The sequence below is a fragment of the Homo sapiens genome, chromosome 3, assembly GCF_000001405.40.
Source record: "Homo sapiens chromosome 3, GRCh38.p14 Primary Assembly".
Lineage (NCBI taxonomy): Eukaryota > Metazoa > Chordata > Mammalia > Primates > Hominidae > Homo > Homo sapiens.
In genome coordinates, this window is record NC_000003.12 from 127,121,557 (window position 1) to 127,139,575 (window position 18,019).

Below are 18,019 nucleotides of genomic sequence, written 5' to 3' on the forward strand. Positions count from 1 at the left end.
CCAGGTTCTGTGGGACCTGGGCCCTGGCCTCAGAGGGGATGGGCCTCTGACTCAGACATGGCATAATCTACTGCTTCAAGGATGGGCTCCAGCAGGGTTGTGTGGCTTTAGCTGGGTCAATCAGAGTCCCTTCTGAAACCCTCCACGTGGAGGCAAGCTCCCTTTTGTCAGAAGGACCCCCAAGGCTGCCAGCAGGCTTGCCTCCCACCTTGTGTGAGCTGAAGAGGTAAGAAAGGGTGTCCAGGAGAGCACCCTGGGCTTCTCAGATTCTGGTTCCAACAGACTCCAGGTGGGCTCATCCGTGTTCTCCTGGTCACGTGAGCCCATATGTCTTCTTCCCTCCATAAACCAGCTTAGGGTGGGCTTCTGCATGTATGTATTTCCTACTGTGTACCTGGTTCTACGTTGGGCTAGAAATTACAGATGGGCCATTGCTCTCAAAGCACTTACATTATGTCAGAGGTTGAGGAAGCAATCCACAAGTAAACAAATGCATCATCAAATGACCTTCAGATAATGGATGTGATTTCCTGGGAGGGAGTCCTAACTGAAGGCAGTGCTTTGGGAAGCTACTCTGCTGTTGTGACTGGCTAGACAGGGGAGTGATGACTGTAAGAATTCTGCAACTGACTGTGTCTGACTGCAATGGGAAGCTTACAGAAACAAAATGACACACTCAGGGCTTTTAAATCTCATCTTATGATATGGTCAAAGAATTAGCAAGCTTCTGTGATGTCCCTGAAACAATCTCCCTCCTTTGTAGCTACAGGGCTGATATAGCTGAAAATAAGACTCCAAATTTGATGATGGGGTTGCAGAGTTACAGCATAAATTGAATTCCCAGCCACGACAGGTCTGTTGTGGAGATGCCAGGGCACTGATGGGAAAGGAGGGGAAATCTGAGAGTTGGAACAAGGGCATGAATCTGAAAAACAGCTTTTCTTCCTGTCTGGAGAGATGAGTCTTCCCTTTCTTGAAAACCTCGTAATGAGCTCACATGGGTCAGTTTTGCAAGAAGATGCCAATTCTTCTCAAAATTTACCCCTATGCCCCCCTTGCCTTCAGAGCCCAGTATGCCCAGGAAGCAAGTCTGAAATTTGGCCCAGGAGAAGACAATTTAGGGCTTCATTGGGTTTTCCTATGACTAGTTGCTGGAGGAAGTTGCCCCTGCTTTACAAGTACTTCTGCACATTATGGCAGCACCACCAGAACTGGAGGGCCACAGCACACCCTAGAAACTATGTCCCATTGATTGGATAGAGATATGGTCAGGGGTATGAATCTCTACTTATTCATGGCAGTGGCTAATGCTTTGGGACTTGGAAAGAACAAGATTTTAGGACTGGTGGCTAAGAGCTCTGGGGAGGAGATATGTGGGCGGAAATCTCAAAATAGGCACAGAGACTGTGGGAATATTTATGTTTCCCAAGTGATTGCTCTCCAAAAGGAGAAGGGGTTCCTAGTCGTCAGGAACATGACATGTTCTGTGAATGTCAGCCAACCTCTTTCTGCAGACTCTAGCTCTTTCTCATGGAGGCAGTATATAAGGAAGCTATACATGGGCCAAGAAACATGGACTTTCCTCACTGATGCATATCTGGCTATTGCTCCTAGTAAATGCTCAACCTATCAACAAAAAAGACTAGCATTAAGTCATGGATGTGGCACCATGCTGTGTGGGGACTAGCTAGCCACCTGCTGGCAGATTAACTATGTAGGACTCTACCTATCATCCTCAATGAAATAGATACTTCTTCTGGAGATGGATTTGCCATCTCTGCTTTCAAGACTTCTGCCAACCACATTACCTGCAGACTTATAAAAATGCTTTATTCACCATTGTGGTATCCTGAACAACATTTCTTCTGACCAAGGGACTTATTTTATGTAAAATATGTGCAGCAATGGACTCACAGCTCTAGATTTTACTCGTTTGCTACCTATATTGTTACCCAGAATCAGCTGAGATTACGGATCAAGGGTCAGCCAACTTTCTCCAAAGGGCCAGATAGTAAATTTTAGTATTTTAGGCCTTATGGGACATACGGTCTCTGTCACAACTGCACAATTCTGCTGTCATAGTGTGAAAGTGGCCAGTGACGATGTAGAAGAGAATGGGCCTGGCTGTATGTCAATAAAGCTTTATTTACAAAAATAGGCAACAGGCCAGATTTGGCCATGGGCCAAAGTTTGCCAGTGCCTAATGTGAACTATTGGAATTGTGCACTGAAGACTCAACTGTGGGGCCAGCAAGAAGAATGCACCCTGCAAAGGCAGGGTGTTGTCCCATAGATTCTGGTCTGCACTTTGAAACTGTGCCCAATCAATTGTGCTGCTTTTCCCACAGGCAGAATCATGGGTCCAGGAATGAAGGGTAGATATGGGAGCAGCTCCTCCAGGCCCAGGCATGTGTTGGTGAAACTGTTGCTTTTCATCTCCACAGTTTTAGGCACTGCTGGTTTAGACACTATTTCCCAAGGGAGAAATGCTTCCAGCAGGGGCCACAGCAGTGGTTCCAATGGACTGGAAGTCAAGGCCACCCCCAGGGTGATGAGTTCTTTATGCCTCTGAGTCAACAGGTAAAGAAGAGGACTTTTCTATTGGCTGAGATGATTGGTCCTGCTCATCAAGGGGAAGTAGGTGTACTGCTGGTAAGGATGGGGAAGCTTATGTTGGAACCGAGGGCACTCTCTGGAGGACTTCTTATTAGTTCTATGTCTAGTAATAAAAGTTAGTGGAAGACTACTGCAACCCAATAACGTCAGGACCACGGAGAGTGCAGGTCCTTCAGGAAGGAATGGGAGTCACCCCATCAATAAAGAACCACAACAGAAGGGCTGGCTGAAATGAAAGAGAGCTTGAAACAGACAGCAGGAGGAGGAGGTGATGAAAGGTCACTCTGGCCACACAGTCAGGTACAGCATCAAGGATGGTCATGCCACTTTCCTTCGCTTGCTATGTCTTTATTCATATATATTTACAAGTTATTTCTTTGTCCCCTGCTCTTTTATATAAGGCATGTTTGTGATGTCTAACTTAAAATTAGCCTTGTGCCAAAGAATATTCGGGTTAGATGGTGACTGAACTGGAAGGCTGCCTAAAGATGATCTGACCCCCTTTTCCATCCAGGGGCAGGAATGTCTTGGTTTGTGCAAGGGATTATTGTAAGCATGCTCCTGTCTTTGCTGCTTTTGTATGGAAGCGTGAAGAAGTGTAAAAGGTGAGAATGGCATGGTGCTGAGGATGGGGACTGTGATAGTGACTCAACTGTAGACGTCAGCCCTGCTCTAGCCCTTCATGTGGCTGGGAGGCTGGATGCCTGCAAACTCTGGGGCTTCTTATAAGCTGGCTCCTTGTTAGATTCAGCAAATGGAAAGCCCTAGAAGGAGAATGGAATGGAGATGGGAAGCAGCAGATGTAGCATGGGGCCACAGACACAGCTCCTGGGCTCCAGCCCAGCCCTCCTGGTTATATGGGCCATTGGAACTGTCCGTGGAATTGGAAGGGCACATCAGCAGTGGGTTCGGCAGTGGCCTCAGCAGCACAGTGCTCATGGGCCTGGATTCTTGTGTCCAGGGCAGTGTGGACCCTGCCTCCTGCACAGAGGTGGTAGGAGGGATGAACACACAGCAACAGCAGCAGCAAGTCCTGCAGCAGCCACAGCAACCCAGCCATCATGGGCCCCAGGTAGCCCCACTTTCTCTTTCCCTCCAACCCTGGATGGTAGACTCTTCCTGCCATTATAAGTATTTGGGTAAACTTACCTTCTTTCCTTCTTTGTAGCCCAACCCTTCCAGTGCTTTTCTAATGAATTTGCTATATAAATCCCTGTTCCTGGCTGGGCACAGTGGCTGACACCTGTATTCCCAGCACTTTGGGAGGCTGAGGCAGGAAAGACTGCTTGAGCTCAGGAGTTTACGACCAGCCTGGGCAACATGGTGAGACCCTATCTGTACAAAAACTACACAAAGTTAGCCAAGCACGGTGACACACACCTGTAGCTCCAGCTACTTGGGAGGCTGAGGTGGGAGGATCTCTTAAGCCTGGGAGGTTGAGGCTGCAGTAAGCTATGATCGCACCACCACACTCTAGCCTGGATGACAGAGCAAGACTCTGTTTCAAAAACAACAACAAAAAAACCCCAACCACAACAATAAAAAATCCCTGTTCCCAGTTTTACCTACGGCATCTTAATTTCCTGACTGGATACAGACTGCTACTGAGTATGACAGGGTCAGGGGTCCTTTAGCAGGATGGTCAGGGAAGGTTCCCCAAAGAGGTGACATTGGAACTGACATATAACCGACAAGAAGACAACCATGCTGAGGTCTGGCTTCAGGGGACATGTTTGTACATATATCCCCTATGCATGGGCAAACAGAAAGATTCCTAGAAATGGAATTGCTGGGTCAAAGGGAATATAGATTTCATATTTTGGTAGCTACTGTCAAAATACCATTTAGAATGGCATAGCAATTAACAGTCCCACAAACAAAGCATGCACTCTTCCATATTAATCACTTTTTCATCTATTTCAAGATGTCTACTATATGCCAAAAGCTGTGCTTGTGTTGTGTGTGGAGGGAGGTGGGGTGGGGTAATGGTAAAGAGGAAAGGATGAGAAGAATACAGACATGGAAGATAAATCTTTTACCTTTGAGGAACTCATCCCCTGTGGGGGACAGGCCTGTGACAGCTGCAGCTGCTGCCACGACTTCCTTCCATTCTTCTTCCTAATCAGTAGCCAGCTTGCAAGAGCCCAGGACATAGTCTGCAGGCTTCTAGCCTCCCAGCCACGTGGAAGAGAGCACGGAGGGCCAGAGCAGGGTTGATGGTGCATGCACCTCCCAGCACAGTCTACCTCTTGGACTCCGCAGCATCCATTCCACCCTCTTAGCCCCACTGTAGTCCACCCCCTTATCCATGGGGGATGCTTTCCAAGACCCAGTGGATGCCTGAAACCACAAATGGTACCAAACCCTATGTACACTACGTTTTTTCCTAACATATATTCTTATGGTAAATTTTAATTTATAAATTAGACACAGTAAGAGATTAACAACAATGACTAATAATAAAATTGAACAATTATAACAATATACTCTAATAAAAGTAGTGTGAATGTGGTTTCTCTCTCTCTCTGAAAATATATATCAATATTTTTGGATGGCAGTTGACCACAGGTAACTGAAATCATGAAAAGCAAAAACTGCAGATAAGAAGGGACTATGGTATTTACATTTCCACATAAAAATAAAAATGCCAACACCATGTTTCCACTTCATGTGCTGCAACCGCTCCTGTACAGGTGAAGGCACTCTCCCCTCTTCCCTTCTCCCACAAAGAGGGAGTGAAGTGAAGAATCAGGCATCAGGCAGACTTCCTGGATGGAAGGGCATTTGAGCTGGGCTTGAGGGATGAGCAGGTCTCCTACAAGCATAAGAAGGAAAGAATATTTGGAATAGAGGGAAGGAAGCCCTGCAGAGCGTAGTTTGAAACCCGCTGGTCCCAAGCAGAGGCAGATGTAGCTGAGGAGTCTGTCAGGCTGGAGAAAACTGGCCCTCACCCTCACTCCTGCGTTTGCACTTCGTGTTAGAAGGCTTTCGTGTTATTTTATTTGACCCTTACAAGTTTTCTGGGGTCTCCCATCACCTTTGCTCTCATGGTTGGACTGCTGTTATGTGCTAGGCTGCAAGTAAAAGGACTCCAGCCCCTGTGGCTTAAACAATACAAGAACTTATGATTTTACATGAGAAGTCAAAGGGCAGAGCTGTTTTAGGCCAGTTACTTCAGCCGCCACGTCATTGAGGACTCAGATCTTCCCCTTTCTCTTCTCTGGAAGAGCTCCTCGCAGGCTCTTTGTGGATGAAGGTAAAGCTTGGACATCCTTTTTAGGAGCCTTCAGCTTCTGAGCTTTTCTGAATGTGAGTCTGCAGAGCAGGGCAGATGTTTGTTCTTTAAGAAGCAGAAGAGGAAATGATGGTTCTAGGTAGGTCTCAGCCTCAGCAGTACTGATATTTGGGGCGAGATGATGTTTGTTGTGGGGCTGTCCAGTGCATTGTAGGTTGTTTAGCAGCATCCTTGGCCTGTATTCACTAAATATCAGTAGTGGCTTCACCCCCAATGTGACAACCAGAAATGCCCAGACATGGCCAGTTCCCCAGGGGGACAATATCCCCCTGAATGAGAAGCACAGGGATGTGTTACTTCCCCAGGACAAAAACCTTAGAAGTGGAACTATGAGATGCAAGGGTGTGAACATTTTCTTAAATATATGTATATAATTTTGGCCGGGCATGGTGGCTCACACCTGCAATTCCAGCACTTTGGGAGGCTGAGGCGGGAGGATCACCTGAGGTTAGGAGTTCGAGACCTGCCTGGCCAACATGGTGAAACCCCATCTCTACTAAAAATACAAAAATTATCTTGGCGTGGTGGCACACGCATGTAATCCCAGCTACTCAGGAGGCTGAGGAAGGAGAATTGCTTGAACCCAGGAGGCAGAGGTTGCAGTGAGATTAGATCACATCACTGCACTCCAGCCTGGGTGATGGAGTGAGACTCTGTCTCAAAAATAATAATAATAATAATTTCTAATGATAAAATTAACGCATTATAGCTGCAGAAAACCTGGACAATGCAGAAATGCACGAAGAAAAAAAAACAAAAATCACTCCATTGCACCATCCAGAGATAACTGTTCCTAATATTTCATTTTATAATCTTCTGTCATTTTTCTATACATATAAATAGATGTATTTTTCATTTTCAAACAAAAAAGAGATGATAATGCACACGCTATTTTGTAAGGTACTATTTTCATTTAACGGTGAACGACGACCATCTTTTCATATCAGTGAATATAATTCTGCCACACAGATTTTACTGGCTGTTGGTTTGTGACTGTAGGATTGTATTATAATTTACTCAATCCCCTATTCACTCTTTAAAGCACTTATTTTTATTTCACAATTAATGTATGTTTATTGTAGAACAATTTCTAAATGAAAATAACCACAAGGTAAGAAATAAAAATCACCCAGGATCTCACCAGCCATGGGCAATCAGTGCTAATATTTTACTGTTCCTCCTTTCTTACTTTTCTTATAAAAATTGATTTTTTTGGCATCTATTATTTTATCACTTGCTCTTTTCACTTAACAATGCAATGCTGATACATGTACTTGTATAACACCATTATTGATGGCTGCATAGAATTCCATTGTATAAAAATACATGATTTATACAACAAGTGATTGCTTATCTGCTGACATTTAGGGTTTTTTTTTTTTTTTTTTTGCCATTACAAAAAATACTGCAGTAAACAGCCCTGTAGCTAATTCTTTTCTTAGGACAAATTTCTACAAGAACAGGTGGGTGAAAAGGTATGCAAAATGAATATGGAAAATGAAATTGCCCTCTAAAAAGTGAATACCACTTTCTGTTTCCAGCAAGAAAGTACAAATGCCCATGTTCCCACACTCTTGCTAACACTGAATATAATAATAGTAATAATGAAGTGCCAATTTTATAGGTGAAAAATGGTAGCTTGTTGTTTTAATTTGCATGTACATGAATACTAATGAGGCCGAACAGTTTTTCAAATGCCTTTTGGTATTTGTATTTCTTCTATTGAAAATTGTCTGTTCGTAGTCTTTGCTCATTTTTCGATTTGTATGTTAACATTTCCTTGATTATTTATATGCCAAGGATATTAACCCTTTACCTGGGTACATAGATCGCAATTATTTTCTCAAATTCATTATCTGTTTTTCACTTTGTTTTTATTTTTCATTTCATTTATTCCATCTGTTTAAACCAGTAGAAGTTTAAGATGTTTATGTAGTCAAATTTGTTATTCCTTGGTGGTTTTTTTCTTTTTTCTTTTGGAAGGCATTCCCCATATCAAGATTTATGTATACTCATTTATAAGTGAGGGAGGGAGGGGTGCAGCCACTCCAGATAAGGGTGCCCAGAGCAGGGCAGGGCGGGCTTATTTTTAAGTTAATTTTTCTTTTTTCTGTTCATTTTGATTCAATGGCATTGGAACAAAACCATCTTTACTCACCACCCGGAGCAGTGCCCTGGTCACCAACGAGTGTCGCACGCAGGCCTGGCTCCACCTTCCCTGGGTGCTCCAGTTTGGCGCCACCAGCGCTCTTTCGTATATGATAGCTTCCTAACATGTTTTCATATCTGCTGGGGCAAACATCTCCTCGGTTGACTTCTTTTCACTATTTCCCTGTCCATTCATGAATGAAACCTTCCTCGTAAATTTTGCAATATTTTTTTGAAAGTTGAAAAGATAAAATGCTCATTTGTATTTGGAATTAAATCATATTGTCTTCAGAGGTCAGTTTGGGCTGAATTCATATAAGTGCCATATTAAGTCTTGCACACAAGGATAAGATACATGTCTCTCTATTCATGCAAGTCTTCTTTGTACCTTTCTGAAAGATCTGTACTGGAAAATTTTATAGTTAAAAACAAAACCGTTCCCTGCTAATTTTTAGTTGAATTGCATTGGGGTCAGAGAATGCGGTCTTCACAATTCTCTCTGCCTTTGCTTTTTGTTGGTAGATTTTGTGTAGATATTTTGATGGTTGATTATTTGACCAGTGTATTCCAGGGATGTTGCAAAGGAAGACATGTTTTTGTTCATACAATTCAAGGTTTTATTGTATATATTCATACTTGCCCTTCTCACTTTCTCTCTCTCTCTCCATGCATACATACACACCCAAACACAATAATATATTGTGTTTAATATATTGTGTTATTAATAATATATTTAGAATAGTTATTGCCTGCTTTTTTTGCCTATTTGGTCTATTAAGATTGTGAGAAATAAATTATAATCTTCAATTAGAAGGGTATGTTCACCAAACTCACTCAAATTTCTGAAGGTTTTTACTTTCTGTATTTAAATGCAATGTAACTTGGTACATAAAATGTCATGACAGTTTGGTTCTCCTTATCCCATGCCATGCTTTTTGTCTTATATGCTACTGAATCTGAAATTAATATTTGGCCCATGCTGTCCTTCTGATTTTATGTTCTGGTATGCTTTTTTTTTTTTTTTTTTTTTTTTTTTTTTTGAGACGGAGTCTTGCTTTGTCACCCAGGCTGGAGTGCAGTGGCGTGATCCCAGCTCACTGCAATCTCTGCCTCCCCAGTTTAAGCGATTCTCCTCCTGCTTCAGCCTCCTGAGTAGCTGGGATTACAGGTGCCCGCCACCCTGCCTGGCTATTTTTGTATTTTTAGTAGAGACAGGGTTTCACCATGTTGACCAGGCTGGTCTCGAACTCCTGACCTCAAGTGATCCACCCGTCTTGGCCTCCCAAAGTGCTAAGATTACAGGTGTGAGCCACTACACCCAGCCATATTCTGGTATACTTTGATTTTTTAGAACTTTGCTTTAGAACGTCTCTTATGAATAGTGTTCAGTTTGATTTTGTTTTACTCAATATGAAAAGATGAACTTTAATAGGGCTTGCTTTAGACTTACTGTTAAACAAAATGTTAAATACCTATTGTAGTTAATAATTTCAAGCTTCCTTCTCTCATCTTTTCTGGTTTTCTGCTTTTTGCCCCCTTCAGATTCTGTTGCCGTTTCACCAGATTTTTATGTACTTCAAGGTTTTAGAAAGGTCGTGTATTCTGTTCTTAGCTTTAACTAATTTCAGCTTTTTGTATACATTCTAACCCTTATGTTTTTGGCTGCCAGATTCAAGAGTAAAACACGGCATATATTGAAGTCCTCCTGTTTAAGACTACTATTAGGATATTTTGGTTGCAAGAGACTGACATTCCCAATGAAATGGCCTTAATTCCAAGTGGAATGCTTCAGCTCCCATAAGTGCCGAACCTAGGGGTACATCAGCTTCTGACAAGGCCACTCTGGGGTTCACCTTTAGTGACGTGCATTTATGATCGTATAATTATCTGCTTGGCTGTCTGCCCCCATTGGTGGTGGGCTTGCTCAGTGAGCCTGTCAGGAGTGCTTCCGGCTGACCAGCAGTGCACTCAGGTGTAGGCATATTTGATGGTCATGTAACAGCTGTAAATCAGAAGCCAGGCAGTTGCATGGGTCTGAGTGAAGGGACTGTTTACAGAGGCCTGGACAGGGTCCCAAGGACTCACAGGGGACATGGAGGCACCCAGAAGTTAGCAATGCTACGAGCTGTTCCCACTCCAGGCCTGAAGGTCTAGGGAAGGAAACAGTGTTGCCAGAGCTCAGGGGAGGAGTCCCAGACAGAAGGTGCCGCTGGGAGAGAAGGGTGCAGCCTCTCCTGATAAGGGTGCCCAGAGCAGGGAGGGATGGGAGCCAACACCCCAGCCTCTTTCACTTCCCTGCAATCTCTCTCCAGCACCCACACTGGCCAGTGTCGCTGAGAGGCAGCCAAGCTGGCTGGAGTCTGCAGGGGTCGGCCTTCTGAGCCCTGGGTGTCTGGGTGGGGGTATGGAGAGTAACCAGCCGGGGTGGCTTCAGAGAGCTGACAAAACCAGCGTGCATGTGCCAGGTGTGGTGCTTTATGCCAGCACTGTGGGAGGCTGAGGTGGCCAGATCACTTGTGGTCAGGAGTTCGAGACCAGCCTGGCCAACATGGGGAGACCCCGTCTCTACTAACAATACAAAAATTAGCCAGGTATGATGGCGCACGATTGTAATACCATCTACTTGGGAGGCTGAGGTGGGAGGATCCCTTGAACCCAGGGTGCAGAGGTTGCATTGAGCCAAGATTGTGCTACTGCGCTCCAGCTTGGGTGACAGAGCGAGACTCTATCCCCCCAGCACCCCTCTAAAAAAACCAGGGTCCATGTGAGTGTCTCTGCCTTCTCCTGCCTTCTCTCCATGGTGGGGGGAATGCCGGCCGCAGCTCCAAGCCTCCCACGATCCTGTGACACGCTCCCCCCCAGGGAGACATAGGGTGGACACAAAGGCCTGCCTGTGTTATTGTGTGTTGCACTAGGGGAGAAGCTTTCCCAGAGACCCCCAGCCAACTTCCCTAGGCAGCGTTGGCCACAGCTGGGTCACAAGCCCACCACACTTTCCCAGCTACAGGTCAACACGATTGAGTGCCCTGATCACCTTAGACCATCATGATCCACACCAGGGCTCTTAAGCCACCCTCTCTGGCCCAGGCCCACCGAAGGGTACTGCAGGGTTAGCAATTCTCAGGCCCCATCCTGCTTACTTGCCTGCAGGAGTTGACATGATCTCTCTTCTCTGTTGTTTTTCTTAAATTGGCTTTATTGAGGTAGAGTTTACTTACAGTAAAATGCACTCATTGGAAGCGTACAATTTAATGAGTTTTTACAAAAGCACTCATACTTGTAACAACTGCCACATCGAGCTACAGAACACTGGCAACAGCCCAAAAAGTCCCCTGGAGCCCACCTGCAGTCAGTTCCCACCCTGAAACCATAGCCCTGGGGAGCCAAAGATCTGCTTTCTGTCACTAGGATTATTTTGCATTTTCTAGAATTGCATATAAATGGAATCCTATGGTCTGTGTTCTTTTGTGTAGAGCTTCTTTTGTCAGCACGATGGTGTGAGAGTCACCGGTGTTGTGGCTTGTATCAGCAGCTGATCCCTTCTTACTGAGGGTGGCTTTTCACTGCACGAACCTGTCACTGCTGTTTATCCACTTCTTCCATTTTGAAGCAGTTTCTTGGCTTCTAGAGAAACCCTCCTTTTCTCGTTTATCTCCTCTCCCTGACCTCTTAACCTGGGGGTTCCCAGGGTTCAGGCAGGTCCTTGTACTCGCCCAGTTTCAGGGCTTCACATGCCTTCTAGAGGCAGACCTCCAAATCTCAACCTGCCACCAGTCCTCATGACTTGCGCACACAGATGTCTCCTAACAGCTCCCACTGCACACGCCTGCATGATTTTCTTCTCCCTGCTGTGACAAATGACCACAAACTTCACTGCTGAAGCAAAACAAATGTGTCCTTTCATAGTTCTGGAAGCCAGAAGTAGTGGCGTCAGGGTGTTGGCAGGTGGTTTTTCTGGATGGAGGACGAGCTTCTAGAGGCCGCCTCCATCCTTGGCTCGTGGCCCCTGCCTCCTTCTTCAAAGCCAGCAGCGTAGCATCCTCAAAGGTCCCTTTCTGACTCTGACCCTCTGGCCTCCCTCTTATAAGGACCCACTTTGTAATCACATTGGGCCATCTGAATAATCCAGTATAATTTCCCAATCTCAAGATCCATAACTTAATCATACCTGCAAAGTCCCATTTGCCACAAAGGTGATATATTCTGGGGACTGGGACAGGGATATCGCTGGGGGTCATGATTCCACCTTCAACCATGTCCAGATAAAACCCTAGAACTCTGACCTTCCCTCCACCGGCTCTTCCCATTTCAGACATTGCTCCTGGCTGGCCTGACCTCCCCTCACCCTCACCAGCCCATCAGCAACATCTCTTGGCCCTCTCTCTGAAATACACCCAGGACCCAAACACTCACTCCTCTCACTGGCGCTGGCCCAGGCCTGCACAGCTTTCACCTGGGCTAATGAGCTAGCCTTTGTTGGCCTCCCTGCATTCCAGCTCCTGTCTCACTCAGGGTCAAAGCCAGGGCCTCAGAGTGGCCTGTCCAGCCTCACAGGGGGGGCCTCTGTGCCTTTTGGGCCTTCTTTTCAGCCCCCTCCCGTCCCCCACTGAATGGGGCAGGCAGCCCCTTGCTCCTGTCTGCGTGGTGCTCCTTCTGCCTGGAGCCCCTCACCTCCTTTCAAGGGGGCCTTCCTACTCCACCCCCACCGCTGCCTGCTGGCTTGGTCCCCTCCTTGCTCTGGGCTACTTTCGCCAGCATCGAGCTTCTCATGCATGTGTCCTCTGCTCACCGCCCATCTTTCCCATTAGAAGGAAAGTCTCATGAAGGCGGACTCTCCACCCGTGTTGTTTACCCGTGTATCCTGAGTGGCATTCAGCTCCACAACACGATGGAGGCTCAGCACACATTCACTGAACCGGTGAACCAGGGATGGACATCACCCGGGGCTCAGGGCAGCCAGATCTTCTCAGGGGAAGGCGGCCGGCACAGGCTTGCCTTCCTGGGAGGTGGAGTGAGGACAGGGCTTCCTGTGGGGAGGAGCTCAGTGAGTGGGATGGTGGCCCTCAGAGCTGGGCTTCTGCTGGGGTGGGGTCTGGACCCGGGGATGAGGTGAGACTGGAAGCAGGAGCTGGGAGAAGGAGGCTGCCCTAGGCAGCTGAGGAGGAGGGAGAACATGCTACAGGGCTGGGATATTGGGGGCTGGGGAGGGGCCTCTTCATGAGAGCTGTGCTGCCCATGGTGTGTGTGTGAACGGGTGCATGTGGGTGCCTGTGTGGACATGCCTGTTGGGGGGAGCGTCTGCTCATGGTGCCCACAGGCGTGCTTCTGGCAGTGTGTGTCTGGAGGTGTGATTTGTGTGCATGTGTGTGTCCTTGTATATTTATGGAGCATCTGTGTGTGTGCATGTGTGTCTGTGTCCATGTGCATATGTGCATTCATACATGAGTGTGTCTGAGTGTGCCTTGGTGTCTGGGAGTGAGCGCGTCACCATGCATCTTTCTATCTGGATGTCTGTGCACATGTATAAATGTGTGTGTGTCTGGAAGTAAGCATGTGAGTGAGTAAGAGTCTGCATGTCCTGCTGTGCCCCCGGGCTGGGCATCTGTATGTGGTGTGGTGGCTAGCCGTGCATGGTCATGTCTGGCCCCACGCGTGGCCCCGGAGGGTACACATTTGTGTCCATGCACGCGGTGCCTCTGCAGCCAGGCTGCAGCCAGGCCCTGCCAGCCCGCTCCCCTCCCGCGTCGGGCTGACGGCTGCCTGGGGCAGGTCTGAGGAGCCAGAGAACTCTTCGCGCTGTCACTGTTAGGGAAATCTGTGTCATCAGGCGCAGGACTGGAAAACAGCCAGCGCAGGGGGCCCTTGAGCCCGAGCCCTCCCCGCCCGCGCTGTCACCAGGGCCACGGGGCTCGGGTTAACTGATCGCAGGGAAAAACCCATTAAGCGCCTGCCTCTCCCAGTCATCCGTTATCGCGCGGACGGTCGCTCTTCTTCACGTAATTGGAGAAACTTTTCCCATTACCCGCTGTCTCTGCGAGGCGGCTCTCCCGCCCCCGCACCCTCCCCGCGGCCCCTCTGCCGTCACGCGGGTTCTTTTCCTCCTCCTTAAGAGGCTGACCTAATTTCCACTCTTTGTCATTTTCTCCCGACCAAACTCGGAGTCGGCTTTCTCCAGGAGCTGCTAGGAGCCTGGGCTCCCACTGAGCAATCCAGAGCAGCGTCTCCATTTCCTGGGCTCTCCAGGCCATCGCAGCCCCCGGCCCTGCCACGCACCGGCGCAGCCCCTGCACTCGGGCGGCCCTGCCTCGGCGGGATGAGTTCGTCCGAGGTGCATACAAGATGAGAAACAGAGCGCCGGGTTGCAGTGCCAGGCACCGAGCTGGGCTCCCCGAAGGCAGGCTCCAGTCCCTCTTCCCTGCTTCTTTCCGTGGGAAGGCAGAGCTGACTGTGGTTTCCAGAGGGGCAGCAGCAAAAACGAAAACATACTGTCCTCCTCCAGCGGCTGGGTCCTACCTGGGGAGGGCCTGTGTTCTTCACCAGCCTGGCCCCCAACCCCAGAGGGGAGCCCGGACAGAGGTTTTCTCTTGCTGCCTGGGTGCCTGAAGTTGGCAGATTGGCCTCCCAGGGACCTTGCTGCACCCTTGCCCCGCCTTGAGTCAGCCTCTGCACCTCTTAGCGTCCCTGGGAGGAACCCCCTCCCTGGCACCCATCGTGCGCACTGCGACCTGGACAATGCCCCAGCCAGCGTCAGTTCTGCTCCCTGTGAGAGGCACGGACCAGGCATGGTCCTGACTGCGGCTGGGTTCCCTGGGGTATGTGAGTGCCCGTGGGCCCCGTGGGAGGGGGTGTCCCACCCAGTGCCTCAGGCCTGGAAGCCAGGGTAGAGCCTCAGTGGACACAGCCTCATGGCAGAGGAGCTGCAGGAACGCCCTTGGACCTTTCTGCTTCCCGAGGGAGGCAGACTTATGGGGAACTGAGCTGGAGAGGGCCTCCATAGCTCAGTCCACACCCTGATGCCAGCCTCCCAGGAGGCTCTGGTGGGTGAGACCCGAGAGTGCAGGTTGCCAGCAATTTGGGAACTTTCCTGGGATTTCATTCAGCTTCTCCCTGACCTCCTAACCTGATTCCCTGACCCTCTGACCCCTACCTCCTGGACCTTAGGTAACCATTGCCACAATCCCTGCCCTGCAGACCTCCACACCAGCCTCTTTCCCCCCCTGTGCCCCGCCTCCCTGCACTGCCAGAATGTTGCTCCTGGCCCTGGGCTAGGAGATGGCTCTGGCCGTGTCCACTTGTGACTGGGTTCGCTAGTGCCCCTGGATTCTGTCCCTCTGGGGAGGGTCAGTCATGGTTCCTCTGTCCCCCAGCTCATCCTCACCTGGTGCCACCTGATGCCCATTGGCACCCACAGTTTCAGTCCTAAACTTGGAGCAGGAGGGCAGGCTGCCCCCTGTGGGTCCCAGCCCATTTGCAGATCGCTTATTCTCTTTGGAGAGTGGGTTTCTGCTTTGCTTTTTGACGTTTCTATTGACATCTAAGTTCCATGCAGTAAGCTTGCAATCTTTCATGCACCACATGGGTGACGTCATCCAGGCCCAGAGAGAGAACACTGCCTGCACCTGTGAGGTCACTTGTGGCACCGCTAGGGAAATATCTGCCACACAGGCCAACCACTATTCTGGCAGGAGGTTAGCGCTGCCTGCCCTTGACCTTCATGGATGCGGACGCAACCAATAGGAGCCCATTTGTATCTGGCCTCTCTCACCACACCTCATGCCTGCTCACAATGCCTAGCTGATAGCCAGCCTGTGCCAGGAGACCTCGGGGCTCCTCTGCTTCTGCAGGACGGGCTCAGTTGACTAGCATTGGGCACTTGGGAGGGCATCTGAAAAACATGCCATTGGGATGTCTCCACCACATCTCTCATAACCCCTCCTGGTGCTCAGAAACCCCCCCACCCCCACTGTCCACACTGATGGGCTGGTCCATCTAGCACTGGCCTCACATATGGCATTCCCCCTCAGGCACTGTGCCCCTGGGCCTGCTATGGGCCCACCACTCCTGCCCAGCTGGCCTGGCTTTCAGGTGCCGTGGATGCAGCCTCCTCAAACCCTCATCTCGGGCTCTGACTGACTCATGACCAGAGTCACTAATTTTGCCTTTCTAAATATTGACAACTGCGTGATGTGAGCTTTGACCAAGCAGAACAGACACGGTGGGTGTCAAATGCCAGCCTGCTAGTGTCCCAACTCCTCCATGCCAGCTCCCAGCACATGCACACACAGGCACACAGACACACATGTGCACATGTACTCACAAGCACACATGTAACACCCTCCCACTCACACACCCACAGATGCACATGCACGTACACAGACACACATGCATGCACACAGACATATGCTCTGCTGCGACCCTTTCAGTTCCTTGGGGCCACTTCAGCAGGTCTAACTCCTGCCCCTGTGGCTGCCTCTCCTCCAGAGTAGGTCAGAGTGGATGTGGCCTCAGTTGCCTCATCTGTGCTTGAGGAGGATTGGACCAGCTGCTCTCTGAGGCACTCTGGCAAACTAGCCACATTGTCTGGGGCACTTCCTTCCCTTACTGCCACCAGTTCCTGGGCCTCAGTTTCCACATCTCTGTAACTGATCTCCCAGCTCAAAGTCTGCGTCCCAGTGCACTGAGTGCGTGTGCAGCACCCTGGGTGGCAGAGGATCAGAGCCTTGAGCCTGAGGGTGTGGGTCTTGGAGGGTGCCCCGCCTGGGCCTCTCAGGAGGCCTGGGGGGACGTGGCCACATGTTGTTCTTGCGGAGCGCAGACCAGGTCAAAGCCTCTGCACACTCTAATCCCTTGGTGGAGCCTCTCACCGGCCTCACCCAGATAATGCCTCAGATTGGGATGCCTTGGTCCCCAGGGAAAGCTCCCCTTGCCTCCCAGAACAGGTGAGATGCCCACCTGGGGGCCTTACAGGCCTGTGCCCATGGCTGGGCCACCTCAGTGGAGCTATGATCTGTAGCTGATGACCTGATGGGCCCGCCTGTCTTCCCTGAGACACAGCTCTGTTCAGGCTGGGCTGGCTGTTTCTGCTTACCCATGCGTCCCCAGAGCTTGGCAGTGCCTGCCACAGTAGGTGCCCATGACGACTCACTGGCTGGGTGGAGCAGCCCAGCAGTGGCTCCTGGCCAAAAAGGGACTGGGAGGCTCCCCAGCAGGCAGCCCGTGTGATTCTCTTCCGAGGCTGCTTTGGCCCCACCAACATTGCTGGGCTCTGCCAGGGGCGGTAGACGTCAGCTGAGCTAAGAGGGATCCTCGAAGTGACAGGTGCTTCTTAGCTCCGGGCGTGCTCCAGGCGCGCCCCGGGCCCAGGCTGAATTGGCTGGTACAGCAGCCCCTGTTTCCTGGGCTAATTAGGGAAAGAGGGCTGGGAAGGGAGGGGCCAGAAGTGAGAGACGCTCTATTCTGGGCTCAGACCAAAGGCAGCGAGGCTCACTTGTGAGAATGGTGTGTGTGTGTGTGTGTGTGTGTGTGTGTGAGAGAGAGAGAGAGAGAGAGAGAAACAGAGAGAGACAGACACAGAAAGGGACAGAGATCAAGACAGAGAGGAAGAGACAGAGAGAAAGAGGGAGAGACAGACACAGAAAGAGAGACAGAGATGGGGGTGTGTGTGTGTGTGTGGATAGAGGGCCATGTGCCTGGATTGCACACGTGTGTATGTGCTGTGTTTTTGTGTATATATAGGCATATGCCTGGATACACACTTGTTTCCGTGTTTTGTGAGTGTATGAGTACATTTGTGCCTTGTGAGTCAGTGCGCTTGTGTCTGAATCTGCATGCACGCTTTTATGGCATGCACACTTGCTCCTGTGTGCATGTTTATTTCTGTGAGTGATGTTTGCATTTTGTGTGTCTGTGTTATGTCTGAATGTGTGTGTGTGTGCATGAGCGTGCAGTACTGTGGCTCTAT

General features: G+C 49.3%; 1 annotated feature.

The window, feature by feature from the left end:
• Positions 17,196 to 17,696: an enhancer, noted in NCBI's record as "H3K4me1 hESC enhancer chr3:126857595-126858095 (GRCh37/hg19 assembly coordinates)". NCBI's record gives its function as "activates a minimal SCP1, AML or CMV promoter by ChIP-STARR-seq in primed H9 embryonic stem cells {active_cell/tissue: H9 hESC(primed)}" and the evidence as "EXISTENCE:reporter gene assay evidence [ECO:0000049][PMID:30033119]".